General features: G+C 40.7%; 1 protein-coding gene across 10 annotated transcripts in view; it reads right to left on the bottom strand.

The window, feature by feature from the left end:
- The window catches only part of MAST4 (microtubule associated serine/threonine kinase family member 4), a 573,201-nt gene that overhangs the window by 408,932 nt on the left and 150,187 nt on the right, over positions 1-14,082 (bottom strand). For all 10 annotated transcript variants that reach the window (XM_024446044.2, XM_047417157.1, XM_047417158.1 and 7 more), the window contains exon 2: positions 800-953. In XM_024446044.2, the coding sequence (XP_024301812.1) occupies positions 800-953 (154 nt within the window). The remainder of the gene's footprint in view (positions 1-799; positions 954-14,082) is intronic.

Raw genomic sequence — 14,082 nt, 5'->3', positions numbered from 1 at the left:
CAGACCAAAGGAGTAGATACTCTGCTTCCATTAATGTAAACCCCTTGATAAGGTCTATCTAATCTATAATAACAGAGCAGATCTATGGCTGCCTAGGGCCAAGGATTTGGAGTTGAGGGTGGAAGTAGAGGGTGGGTTTGACTAGGAAGAGCATGGGAAACATTTTATATCCTGATCACGGCAGTAGTTAAACTGAGGTATAAATTTGCAAAAATCCATCCAAACATAAACTTAAAATTGGGGATATTGGCCGGGTGCGGTGGCTCACACCTGTAATCCCAGCACTTTGGGAGGCCACGGCAGGCAGATCACGAGGTCAAGAGATCACGACCATCTTGGCCAACACGGTGAAACCCCGTCTCCAATAAAAATACAAAAATTAGCTGGGCGTGGTGGTGTGTGCCTGTAATCCCAGCTACTCAGGAGGCTGAGGCAGGAGAATCGCTTGAACCTGGGAGGCGGAGGTTGCAGTGAGCCGAGATCATGCCACACCACTGCACTCCAGCCTAGCAACGGAGCGAGACTCTGTCTCAAAAAATAAATAAATAAATAAATAAATAAATAAATAAATAAATAAATAAATAGGGGATATTGTCACTGCATGTAAATTATATTTCAGCAAAGTTTATTAATAAAATTTTCAATTTAACTGCTTTCTGGATTAGATAAGATTTTTATGAAATGGTCTGCAGAGGCAGGCCCATTCTTAAGAAAGCTGATTACATGTGGAACTCTGGGGCCATGCAGGACCTTGTAAAGAAATGCAATTCCTTCTCTCATCCAAGCCGCTGCGACTCACCAGTCAGGGCTCCTCCCAGGCTCCCTCGCCTTAGCTGTCTTCCATCCTCACTCAGCTGTCTTTTATACTTCAGTGATTTTCCAGGGCCAGAAGCCACATCTGGGTTGCTGCATTTCCGAAACGGCATGGGTGGAGGGGATAATATGTGGTCAAGCTGCAGAAAGAGGAAGAATGGCATCACTGGCTAGGGCATCAACACAGCCTAGAATGAAAGACCAATCATTCACACTTTTTCTTCCTTTCTTTTCCTTCTCAAACTCCATTCTCCCAACACTGTGTTCAATTTTGCTACGTTAGAGAATTTAGAATTTCACTGTCACATCTTCCTTCCGAAAGAGAGTCTGGCTTGCTGCAAAATCTCGACAGCAGTGATTTTCAAACTGTGGGTCACAGCACATTAGTGGGTCATGAAATCAAGTTTGGTAGATTGTGACTGGTGTTTTTTAATGCAATAGAACAGAAATTATCACAGTCCAATGAAGAAAGGGAAAGGATTGTTTCATGAAATGTTTTATTCAGTTATACGTGTATGTGTGTGTATCCTAGGTCACTATATAAAACATGTCTTTCTGTACATGGTCTCCCCCAAAATTGAAGATTGTCGCTCTGTAGAGAAGCAATAGATCACTCTCTTTAGTGGGTTACAAAAGAAAATTCACATATTGCTCACAAATATATGTTGTACAGGAGAGAAATTTCTAAGTACCCTAGCCCTTAATGGAAATCAATACATCCCTACGTCACTTTATAGCTTTTTAAAAGAAAACCTGTCACAAGAATCAGAGAAACCAAAGTCACTTCAAGAGACAGCATTCTACAAAAGAATCCCTTGTGTCACAACACTTATTTCAAGATCTGCCTGTTTTTGTAAGAAAGCCTCTCATACTTAATAGAGCCATACCATCTAAAATGTTCACCTTCAAGTAAGTACATATGAATATGTGTCTAAGACAGCTGCAAAGGACAAAAATTTTCATATACACCTACATACTTCCAGTTAGTTATTAAAGATCCCTCAAAAAAGTACATAAAAAGGTTAACTCTGTAGAAATTTAAAAACAGAAGAGTCAAGTAACATTATTCAAAGCCGGGCATTTTAAGAGCCGCTTCACTGAGATTTGTTTTGTTTTCATGGGGAAAAGAGGTGATCACCTGGTTATACTTGTCAAATTTTTTCAGGTGAAGATTATCATGGATGTATTTATAAGAAATAGAAATCTGGAGACTAGGTCATCCATTTTGTCTGTCCATGCACTGCATCATATTCAAAGTCATTGCACAGGCGGAGCGCAGTGGCTCACATCAGTAATCCTAGCATTTTGGGAAGCCAAGGCAGGAGACTCTCTTGAGTCCAGGAGGTCAAGTCTACAGTGAGCCATGACTGCAGCACTGCACTCCAGCATGAGCAACAGAGCAAGACCCCATCTCAAAAAATAAATAAAAAATAATTAAATAAATAGAAATATTTATTTCTATTTATTTAATAATAATAGTTCTATAAAACTATTACACAAAAGGAAATTTGATCCTGTTTATGAGCAACCCTTCCCAAGTTAGTTGAGATAGAACAGACCTCATCGGCTTAGCTGCTAAAAGATTCCCCTAAGCATAACTGTATTCATTAGTAAGACCTAACACCTGGATTTCAAGCACTTCTCTGTAAGTACCATCTCACACTCATTGCCGGTCAGTATTTTAGTGAGAGGCCCTTGAAGAACTAGCAGCCCATCCACTCCAAGATCAAAGCCAGATCAGTAGGAAAAAGGGACTCCAGAGTGCACTTGGGAAAAAGGAAAAAAAAAAAACACACCCTTTCAAATGCAGAGCTGAACTTATCACAAGGTATTTGTCGAGGGCTGCTGTTTATTACATCAGTGTCCTATTTAGGAGGGCCTCCAAGGAGAAGTTTCCATATAGCCTCTAGAAAATGCAGAACCAAATCACTGAGTTCATCTAGAGTCAGATCATTAAAGAATGTAGAGGTTATTTTTGCCTCCTTTTTGGCTCCATTTTGTGCTCATACCCCAATTATTTTTTCTGCCAATTTTTAAATTAGAAACTTTTCAGAAAAACATTTGCAACTACAGAAAAGTTACAGGAACGGTAAACACCCATATTCTCAGTGGCGAGTTAACCTTTTGTCACACCGTTTTTGCTCTCTCTCCTCTTCACACATGCACGGGGACTGTTGGTTGCAGGCAGTATGATTCTTCACCCCCCTCCAAATACTTCAATACTTCAACATGCCTGTTCTAAGAACAAGAATATTCTCTCAAGTTCTCTTATCCTATATTCTATGTAGTCTTATAAGGTGTCTCAAATCTTTTGTGAGCAAGGTAACGTATAAATACCAGGAAAAATGTAACATAAGATTATATCAGGTAGACTTAACATTAAAAAATTTACTTTTACATCACAAGACAAATCTGCAGCCACAAGGTGGCAATGTGCCATAGACATTGAACAAAATGTTCCATAACAGCTACTATTTAATAGTCCTAGTAAATGCACTAAGAATGGATGCCTACCCTGTGAAGCAATCAAACAAGTTAGGGTCCATTCTACTTACTTATTTTCTCTTAATTATGAGTGACAGCTGCATAAAATACAAATATTTCTCATTTAAGGTTCATCAGCATCTGCTACTTATTTTTCACCTGATGTTAAATTTTTTCAGCTTGTAGAATTACAATTAATTACTCTGGGGAAGACTGCTGTATCACAAATTAACAGCGGGTAGAAAAACAAGCAGAGGAAAGAAGATAATTCCTAAATAGGAAAGCCATAAAAGACATGAAACAAATGTGGAAGAAAGAGAAGGAAATCAAGGAGAAAACAGAAAAAAAACCTAATTCATCACATATCGCACATATATAGACATGAGCTGTTAGTCCACAAGCCAAGGTTTTTAATCAAAATCACAAGAAGGGAGTATTATTTTAAATCTGGGAAAACTGAGGCAGTGAACTGTGAGGGCTGCCAATGTTTCAGGCACAGTATGAGCAGAAAACCTATAAGCATAGTGCAGTGCTCCAAGATCCCATTTCCTCTTCACATCCGATCACACTCCCAACAGGCTCTCTCTAAATAGATCATTTTTCCAAATTTGCTCTGTTGTCAGTGGCTTTACTATTCTTTCTACAATTAGTCAAAGCTTCTCAAAACGGTCCACTGCAGCCCTGCAATTTATTTTTCATTTTTTGTCCTGAGTCAAATACTCATGATCCCTTTTAAGACACTTCATCACACCCTAGAGCTTATGGTAGACATCAAACATGTCACTTTGGACTTCGTCCTTTAAATGATTCCATTTTAATGTTTTCCAACTTTTCCAGACTCCCAAAGTCTTCATACTACAAGGAGTTGAACTAAAGACAGAGGCTGTCTTGAAACTTTCACTGATGTTCAAGGGCATCTAAGCCTGGGCATGATACCCCTGCTTCAAATACTTGTGGTTCCTCTCCCTAAGCAGGCTGTGTACTCCTAGAGGGCCAGGTCCTACTCCGTGGTCACCTACATGCTGCTGGCCACAAAGTATCTTGCATTGAAACAGCAATATGTCCTTACCTCATGCACCAATAGTAAATACTGATTTGTGTGACTGGATTTGCTTAAAATTTCCTACGTTAGTTCTTACCACCTCCAACAAGAGCCATAGAAAATTTGGAAGGATTCCTTTAATATTATTGAATGCAGAAGTCAGACAGGGGCACAGGACACCACCTACAAGTGAGGGATGTACACCCGCTCTTGCTAGCAGTTTATCACAGGAAACATGTTAGCATCTTAAGGGATAAAAGGTATATAACCAAGGGAAGTGTGAGGCAGAATTGAAAGAAAGTTTCCAAAACTGTCAGTTCTATAGAAATGCCAATCACCAGAATTCTATACCTAGATTTTCTGTATTTACTGCCCCCACCCATTATATGCTGTTTTACAAATTATCAGGCTGAGAAAAAAACAGATCCTCCACGATGACATTGTGGCTTGGCCATATCAATGAAGATGAATTAAAAGCACATAGTTAACATTTAATAGCAATGTACTGTATTCTTGAAAATCACAGAGTAGATTTAAGTGTTCTCACTCCCCAAAAATAAGCATGTGAGGTAATACATATGTTAATTAGCTTGATTTAGCCATTCCACAACACATACATATTTTAAGACATTATGATGCATATACATATGTAGAATTTTTATTTTTCAATTAAAAGAATAAATTTTAAAAAGTAAAAATGAAGGCACATCATTTACAAGCCTCGATCTAATTTTTGTTAATGTCTCCGCCATCACCATCACGACCATCTGCAAATAAGCACCACAGATTTCTTTATCTACGGCTATATGCCCTAGTAATACCACCCATCTGTCTATAAAAAGGCATATTAGAACTGTCCACAAACAGAACTTTCAGCCTCTTAACTGACAATTTTCTCCGACCTCATTTTCAGACACTTCTATTCCCAAGCACATGGGTTCTGTAATTCATAGTTTTTAAATATTAACAGTGGTCATATAAGCAGAAAGAGAAAGCTTTTTCCAATTTCAGTAAATGGCAATTCTGTTTTCTCTAGCTACTCAGGTCACAAAATCTTTCAGTTGTTCTTAACTTCTCTTTCACACTCCATATCCAACTAGTAAATCCTCCAGGCTCAACTTCCAAAATACACCCAAGATCACTTCACCATTTCTATGCCTACCACCCTTGTCCCTGCCATCCCCTTTCTCTCTTGCAATAGCATCTCAAGAGGTCTCTGTGCTTCCATCCTCTCAGAACCACAGCAGTGACCCTTCTAAAATGAAGCCAGATGCTCCAATTCCACAGCTGGAGTCCTTCTCTCTAGTCCCAGCTCCTGCCACTCCACTCGATCCACCTTGGTCTCTTGCCAGACCTTGGATGCCCCAGGCTCTTCCCACCCAGGACCTTACATTTATCATTTCCTCTACCTGCGACACATTCCAGATATTAGCTATTGTGCCCCCTCTGTCCTCTGGGTCTCTATTCAAATGTCACTCTTCCTGGGATGCCCTCTGTAAATGCCTATGTAAAACAGCACGCTCAACCTTTATTCCTTGTTCTTATTTTTCTTCAGAGCATCTATCACCACATGACATATGAGATCTTTGGTACTTGTTTCTTGCTCTTCTCCCCCTGCTAAAATTAAAGTTACATGAAATTATGCACTATATTGTTTTGTCCACTGCTGTATCCCTAGAACACTGCAAACTACATAAAAAGCACCTGTAAATATTGGTGGAAAGAGCAAATCAATTGCAAATCTCTGATATGTACTTTAAAATATAACAGGAAAAAAATAGAAAACACATGCCATAAAGGGCTTTAATTATTGAAAAAATAGAATAAAATTATATTAATTGTTATTCAAGGTGACATACTGGAAACTAAAGTGAGTCTCTAGTATTTTGAAAAACTGAACACTTCATGTGTGGAAAAGACCCTTAGGTTATGGCAAACCACATCATTTGAAAGAATCTGTTCCATATACCAAACTAATATGCTAATTTTTGAACACAGCTAACTCCAAAGGTAATTCCTAAATAACCATTGAACTTTTTAACTGTATCCCTGCTAGCATATATATTTGTCCAAATCAATCCAATCTTTTCCTACTCCACTCCTCTTCCAGTTTTTGCCCATTCAGTATGATATTGGCTGTGGGTTTGTCATAGATAGCTCTTATTATTTTGAGATACGTCCCATCAGTACCTAATTTATTGAGCGTTTTTAGCATGAGGGGTTGTTGAATTTTGTCAAAGGCCTTTTCTGCATCTATTGATATAATCATGTGGTTTTTGTCTTTGGTTCTGTTTATGTGATGGATTACATTTATTGATTTGCATATATTGAACCAGCCTTGCATCCCAGGGATGAAGCCCACTTGATCATGGTGGATAAGCTTTTTGATGTGCTGCTGGATTCGGTTTGCCAGTATTTTATTCAGGATTTTTGCGTCAGTGTTCATCAGGGATATTGGTCTAAAATTCTCTTTTTTGGTTGTGTCTCTGCCTGGCTTTGGTATCAGGATGATGCTGGCCTCATCAAATGAGTTAGGGAGGATTCCCTCTTTTTCTATTGATTGGAATAGTTTCAGAAGGAATGGTACCAGTTCCTCCTTGTACCTCTGGTAGAATTCGGCTGTGAATCCATCTGGTCCTGGACTCTGTTTGGTTGGTAAGCTATTGATTATTGCCACAATTTCAGAGCCTGTTATTGGTCTATTCAGAGATTCAACTTCTTCCTGGTTTAGTCTTAGGAGGGTGTATGCATTGAGGAATTTATCCATTTCTTCTAGATTTTCTAGTTTATTTGCGTCGAGGTGTTTGTAGTATTCTCTGATGGTAGTTTGTATTTCTGTGGGATCGGTGGTGATATCCCCTTTATCATTTTTTATTGCGTCTATTTGATTCTTCTCTCTTTTTTTCTTTATTAGTCTTGCTAGCGGTCTATCAATTTTGTTGATCCTTTCAAAAAACCAGCTCCTGGATTCATTAATTTTTTGAAGGGTTTTTTGTGTCTCTATTTCCTTCAGTTCTGCTCGATTTTAGTTATTTCTTGCCTTCTGCTAGCTTTTGAATGTGTTTGCTCTTGCTTTTCTAGTTCTCTTAATTGTGATATTAGGGTGTCAATTTTGGATCTTTCCTGCTTTCTCTTTTGGGCATTTAGTGCTATAAGTTTCCCTCTACACACTGCTTTGAATGCGTCCCAGAGATTCTGGTATGTTGTGTCTTTGTTCTCGTTGGTTTCAAAGAACATCTTTATTTCTGCCTTCATTTCGTTATGTACCCAGTAGTCATTCAGGAGCAGGTTGTTCAGTTTCCATGTAGTTGAGCAGTTTTGAGTGAGATTCTTAATCCTGAGTTCTAGTTTGATTGCACTGTGGTCTGAGAGATAGTTTGTTATAATTTCTGTTCTTTTACATTTGCTGAGGAGAGCTTTACTTCCAACTATGTGGTCAATTTTGGAATAGGTGTGGGTGTGGTGTGGTGCTGAAAAAAATGTATATTCTGTTGATTTGGGGTGGAGAGTTCTGTAGATGTCTATTAGGTCCGCTTGGTGCAGAGCTGAGTTCAATTCCTGGGTATCCTTGTTGACTTTCTGTCTTGTTGATCTGTCTAATGTTGACAGTGGGGTGTTAAAGTCTCCCATTATTAATGTGTGGGAGTCTAAGTCTCTTTGTAGGTCACTCAGGACTTGCTTTATGAATCTGGATGCTCCTGTATTGGGTGCATATATATTTAGGATAGTTAGCTCTTCTTGTTGAATTGATCCCTTTACCATTATGTAATGGCCTTCTTTGTCTCTTTTGATCTTTGTTGGTTTAAAGTCTGTTTTATCAGAGACTAGGATTGCAACCCCTGCCTTTTTTTGTTTTCCATTTGCTTGGTAGATCTTCCTCCATCCTTTTATTTTGAGCCTATGTGTGTCTCTGCACATGAGATGGGTTTCCTGAATACAGCCCACTGATGGGTCTGGACTCTTTATCCAATTTGCCAGTCTGTGTCTTTTAATTGGAGCATTTAGTCCATTGACATTTAAAGTTAATATTGTTATGTGTGAATTTGATCCTGTCATTATGATGTTAGCTGGTTATTTTGCTCATTAGTTGATGCAGTTTCTTTCTAGTCTTGACGGTCTTTACATTTTGCCATGATTTTGCAGCAGCTGGTACCGGTTGTTCCTTTCCATGTTTAGTGTTTCCTTCAGGAGCTCTTTTAGGGCAGGCCTAGTGGTGACAAAATTTCTCAGCATTTGCTTGTCTGTAAAGGATTTTATTTCTCCTTCACTTACGAAGCTTAGTTTGGCTGGATATGAAATTCTGGGTTGAAAATTCTTTTCTTTAAGAATGTTGAATATTGGCCCCCACTCTCTTCTGGCTTGTAGGGTTTCTGCCCAGAGATCCGCTGTTAGTCTGATGGGCTTCCCTTTGAGGGTAACCCGACCTTTCTCTCTGGCTGCCCTTAACATTTTTTCCTTCATTTCAACTTTGGTGAATCTGACAATTATGTGTCTTGGAGTTGCTCTTCTCGAGGAGTATCTTTGTGGCGTTCTCTGTATTTCCTGAATCTGAACGTTGGCCTGCCTTGCTAGACTGGGGAAGTTCTCCTGGATAATATCCTGCAGAGTGTTTTCCAACTTGGTTCCATTCTCCGCATCACTTTCAGGTACACCAATCAGACATAGATTTGGTCTTTTCACATAGTCCCATATTTCTTGGAGGCTTTGCTCATTTCTTTTTATTCTTTTTTCTCTAAACTTCCCTTCTCGCTTCATTTCATTCATTTCATCTTCCATCGCTGACACCCTTTCTTCCAGTTGATCACATCGGCTCCTGAGGCTTCTGAATTCTTCACATAGTTCTCGAGCCTTGGTTTTCAGCTCCATCAGCTCCTTTAAGCACTTCTCTGTATTGGTTATTCTAGTTATACATTCTTCTAAATTTTTTTCAGTTTTCAACTTCTTTGCCTTTGGTTTGAATGTCCTCCTGTAGCTCAGAGTAATTTGATTGTCTGAAGCCTTCTTCTCTCAGCTCGTCAAAGTCATTCTCCATCCAGCTTTGTTCCGTTGCTGGTGAGGAACTGCATTCCTTTGGAGGAGGAGAGGCGCTCTGCTTTTTAGAGTTTCCAGTTTTTCTGTTCTGTTTTTTCCCCATCTTTGTGGTTTTATCTACTTTTGGTCTTTGATGATGGTGATGTACAGATGGGTTTTGGGTGTGGATGTCCTTTCTGTTTGTTAGTTTTCCTTCCAACAGACAGGACCCTCAGCTGCAGGTCTGTTCGAATACCCTGCCGTGTGAGATGTCAGTGTGCCCCTGCTGGGGGGTGCCTCCCAGTTAGGCTGCTTGGGGGTCAGGGGTCAGGGACCCACTTGAGAAGGCAGTCTGCCTGTTCTCAGATCTCCAGCTGCATGCTGGGAGAACCACTGCTCTCTTCAAAGCTGTCAGACAGAGACATTTAAGTCTGCAGAGGTTACTGCTGTCTTTTTGTTTGTCTGTGCCCTGCCCCCAGAGGTGGAGCCTACAGAGGCAGGCAGGCCTCCTTGAGCTGTGGTGGGCTCCACCCAGTTCGAGCTTCCCCTCTGCTTTGTTTACCTAAGCAAGCCTGGGCAATGGCGGGTGCCCCTCCCCCAGCCTCGCTACCGCCTTGCAGTTTGATCTCAGACTGCTGTGCTAGCAATCAGGGAGACTCCGTGGGCGTAGGACCCTCAGAGCCAGGTGCGGGATATAATCTCCTGGTGCGCCGTTTTTTAAGCCGGTCGGAAAAGCGCAGTATTCGGGTGGGAGTGACCCGATTTTCAAGGTGCGTCCGTCACCCCTTTCTTTGACTCAGAAAGGGAACTCCCTGACCCCTTGCGCTTCCCAAGTGAGGCAGTGCCTCGCCCTGCTTCGGCTCGCACACGGTGCACGCACCCACTGACCTGCGCCCACTGTCTGGCACTCCCTAGTGAGATGAACCCGGTACCTCAGATGGAAATGCAGAAATCACCGTTTCCTGCGTCGCTCACGCTGGGAGCTGTAGACCTGAGCTGTTCCTATTCGGCCATCTTGGCTCCTCCCTCAGCACATGCATTTTAAAGACTCATCCAGTATGCACATGCCCTAAGGCCAAAGTTCATTAGTTCAAAGGGATCACCAATGTCATCTGCATACATAATGAGAGGCTCACCAGTAAAGTCCTTTTTATGCTTAAAAAAAGAGAAGAGACTGATTCATAACATAGATTATGAAGACATTGTTCAGTTATTCTGTTTCTTGATATTAAATATCTTAAGAAACCAAAGATATGAAAATAGATTATAAAACTGCAGAGACTATGCTTGTAATCCTAATTAACTGCTCTCTCTCTCTCATCCCTGCCACCCAATAAAGAATCAAATTGGCAACCTGAAATGACTTTATTTCAAAATTGGATTTTATCTACTTTTAAACCGAAGCCTATAATCAATATTTTAAAATTTGATAGAACAGGCTTCTACAGTTAAAACACTCATTATTCGTTTCATACTAATTCCACAGTGGTTACAAGCCCAGATGAGAGCTGACACTTACTATCCTAATTAAGATATTTAACTATTTCTGCACCTGTTTCCTCAACCATGAGATGTTAGTAACAATAAATATCTATCTACTGGGGTGGCAGTAAGGATGAAGACAGTACATATATGTAAAGCACCTAAGACAGTGCTTGGCACAAAGGAAGTGCACCATGAATGACAGCTATGACTATTAATATCATTGTCCTGTAGTAAGTCACTTCGTTGTCTAGGCAAACATCTCTGTGAGTGTACATCATCATCAATGGTTCACAAGGAAATTAAACTCTTTACAATCATACCAAGGTTTTGGTTTGTGTTTTGTTTTTATGGCTCAAGTGAGAATTTGATTTAAACTGATTTTACATTATTTCAGGCTGTAATGCTCATACCTGTATTCCAGAGCACAGAATTCTAGGGTGTGATCGCCTATGCTACGGGCATCTGTAGCTATGTTTTTGGCATGAACGGAGCAGTACAGTGGTGAGGGACCTAGCCCCAGTGGGAATTGCCAGGAACAGAATCCCAATGTCATGTCCTGGGCAAGCTACCTCTCTCTCAGACTGGACCTCAGAGATGCAGTTAGGATGCAGAGAGATGATGCATGAAAAGAGCTGGCACACAGACACACTCAGTAACAAGTGATACTGATAAATGTCACTATCGCCCTAGGCTCAGCTCAAGTCTCCCTCCCCTTACCTTGGCCTGATGTCTGCTACAACCTGCAGCAGCTCTATTTAACTGGCCCTCCTGAGTGACACCTCTCAGGCACTCTTATCTCTGTTCTATACCACTCAAAGAATAGAAAAACATTTATTATTCTCTGCAGTGCCTGAAGAATATGCAAGGCCCCTTCCCTAGCATCTTAAAATCTAACTATAGATTGAGTCAGACCACCAAGACCTCTACAGTCCTAGACCACACCATCCTGGGACCTATTAATTGATTTTGCTGACAGTCATGTTGGATTATACCACCCAGAATGCATTCTTCCATTTAATGATACTGTAAGAAATGGTCCCAGCCAGGCATGGTGGCTTACACCTGTAATCCCAGCACTTTGGGAGGCCGAGGCAGGTGGATCATGAGGTCAAGAGATCGAGACCATCTTGGCCAACATGGTGAAACCCTGTCTCTACTAAAAATACAAAAATTAGCTGGGTGTGGTTGCGCACGCCTGTAGTCCTCAACTACTTGGGAGGCTGAGGCAGGAGAACTGCTTGAACCCGAGAGGCAGTGGTTGCAGTGAGCCGAGATCGCACCACTGCACTCCAGCCTGGCGACAGAGTGAGACTCCATCTAAGAAGAAGAAAAGGAAGAAAAGGAAGAGAAGGAAGAGAAGGAAGGAAGGAGGGAGTGAGGGAGAGAGGGAGGGAGGGAGGGAGGAAGGAAGGGAGGAAGGAAAGAAGGAAGGAAAGAAGGAAGGAAGGGGTCCTATAAATCCTGCTGCTCTGTTCTTATAAACAAGTAAAGAAGGGCCTATATTGCATAGCATCCTTCCTTATGAAGACTCATCTCTTTTTATAGACATTTATTAAGCGGCTGTGTGCCAGGTATTGCTCTGGACACAGCAGTTGGCAAAAGGGCAAGGAACGAAACTGACAGAAATCCCTGCCCACTGGGAACTTCATTGGAGTTGAGGAGAGGAACATCTAGAGAAAATCCTTTCAGTTCCTTGCATTAAGACTATTTTTATCCTGGGAACACCATAACCCACATACCTAGTCATGTTTCTCTACTTCAGTCCCTAGAAATCCCCTGGCAAAGCCCACACCCTATCACCAACAAGCATAGCATGTCCTATGTCCAACTGAGACTTCACGGGTCCATCTGCTGTGCTAACCTTGGTCCAGATTTCACCTTACCCTCTAAACCAGCAGTTCTGAACTCATAGTGATTTTCCCTCCACCCCCTCACCCTTCAGAAGACATGGGGCAGTATCTGAACCCATTTTTGGTTGTCACAACTTGGGTTGGCTACAGGCCAGGGAGGCTAACTGAATTTCCTGCAATGCACGGGACAGCTTCCCACAACAAAGTATTATCCAGCTCAAAGCATCAGCAATGCCATTATTGAGAACCCCCGCCCTACACTCACTTTCCTTTTTGTCTCTCTTCACCTATTTTTGAGTGCGTCACCTTGCTGAGATGACCTAGGTTGTAGGTCATCCTAAAAGCTTTTGAGAACAGGAAGCGGGACAGAGGAAGAGCACAGATAGAATCTCAGCAAAAATTGTTCATGCCACCAAAGGTTTGGTAAGCAAATAATTTGCTGAGCAACATCAATTTACCCAAACTATTTAACTGTTCACTGCAATTCACTTTCTCAATGAATGTCCATATTTTTTAAGAAAGAATGCATCAATAGAATGTGTTTAAACTAGAAGATGTACTAGATACCAATATCATTTTCCATCTTTGGTTTTATAATTAATTCTCTGAATCACAAACTTCAATAGAAATATAAGAAGTGTTTCAGAAACATCCCAAAATACAGTATTAGATCAAACTACAGTGGCATTCACATAAACAGAGCTGTAGCACTAGTTTCATTTCTTAAGAGAATTGATTTTCTCTGTTCCCTTCCAAGAGAAATATGTATATTAGCACTTTGATACTGCTATCTCGTGACTGTCAACTTCAAGAAAGTCAATTCCTTTTCTCTACACACACATACATACACACACACACACACACACACACACACACACACCATGCGCATGCACACATCCACCACCAGCAATACAATTTCATCACAGCCCCAAGGACAGAGCACGACACTGTAGGCATTTAATTGCAACTGACTGTGATTAAGCAATAAAGTCAACAGTCTAAAGATGTTAAAAAAAAAAATAAAGCTAGTATCATTTTATAGTTTTTTAAAACATGGCACACTTTGTGCATAGTTTTCAAATTATGAATCATTTCTCAAAGTTTACTTTAGGAACAATGACACTGGGAGAACACGGAAAATACTAATTTGATTTTGCATATACATCACCTGTTTTCCTGTCACTTTAATATTCTAGATGTTTCCTTGACCTTTATTTAGGTGTTTGATCTATGCCTGAAGTTGTTTACCTATCTGAAGTCATTAAATTGCCCTGATACCATCAAGTCCCCATCAGCAACATAACTAAAGAGTCTGACCATGCTTAACAAGCAGGAAGAGAATATACTGCTCACCCATCATCTTCCTTCCATTTAAAGTCAGAGGGGAACATTCCCACA

This window comes from Homo sapiens, chromosome 5 (genome assembly GCF_000001405.40).
Source record: "Homo sapiens chromosome 5, GRCh38.p14 Primary Assembly".
Lineage (NCBI taxonomy): Eukaryota > Metazoa > Chordata > Mammalia > Primates > Hominidae > Homo > Homo sapiens.
The sequence above is the reverse complement of the archived record's forward strand: the minus strand, read 5'-3'. Positions and strand labels throughout refer to the sequence as shown.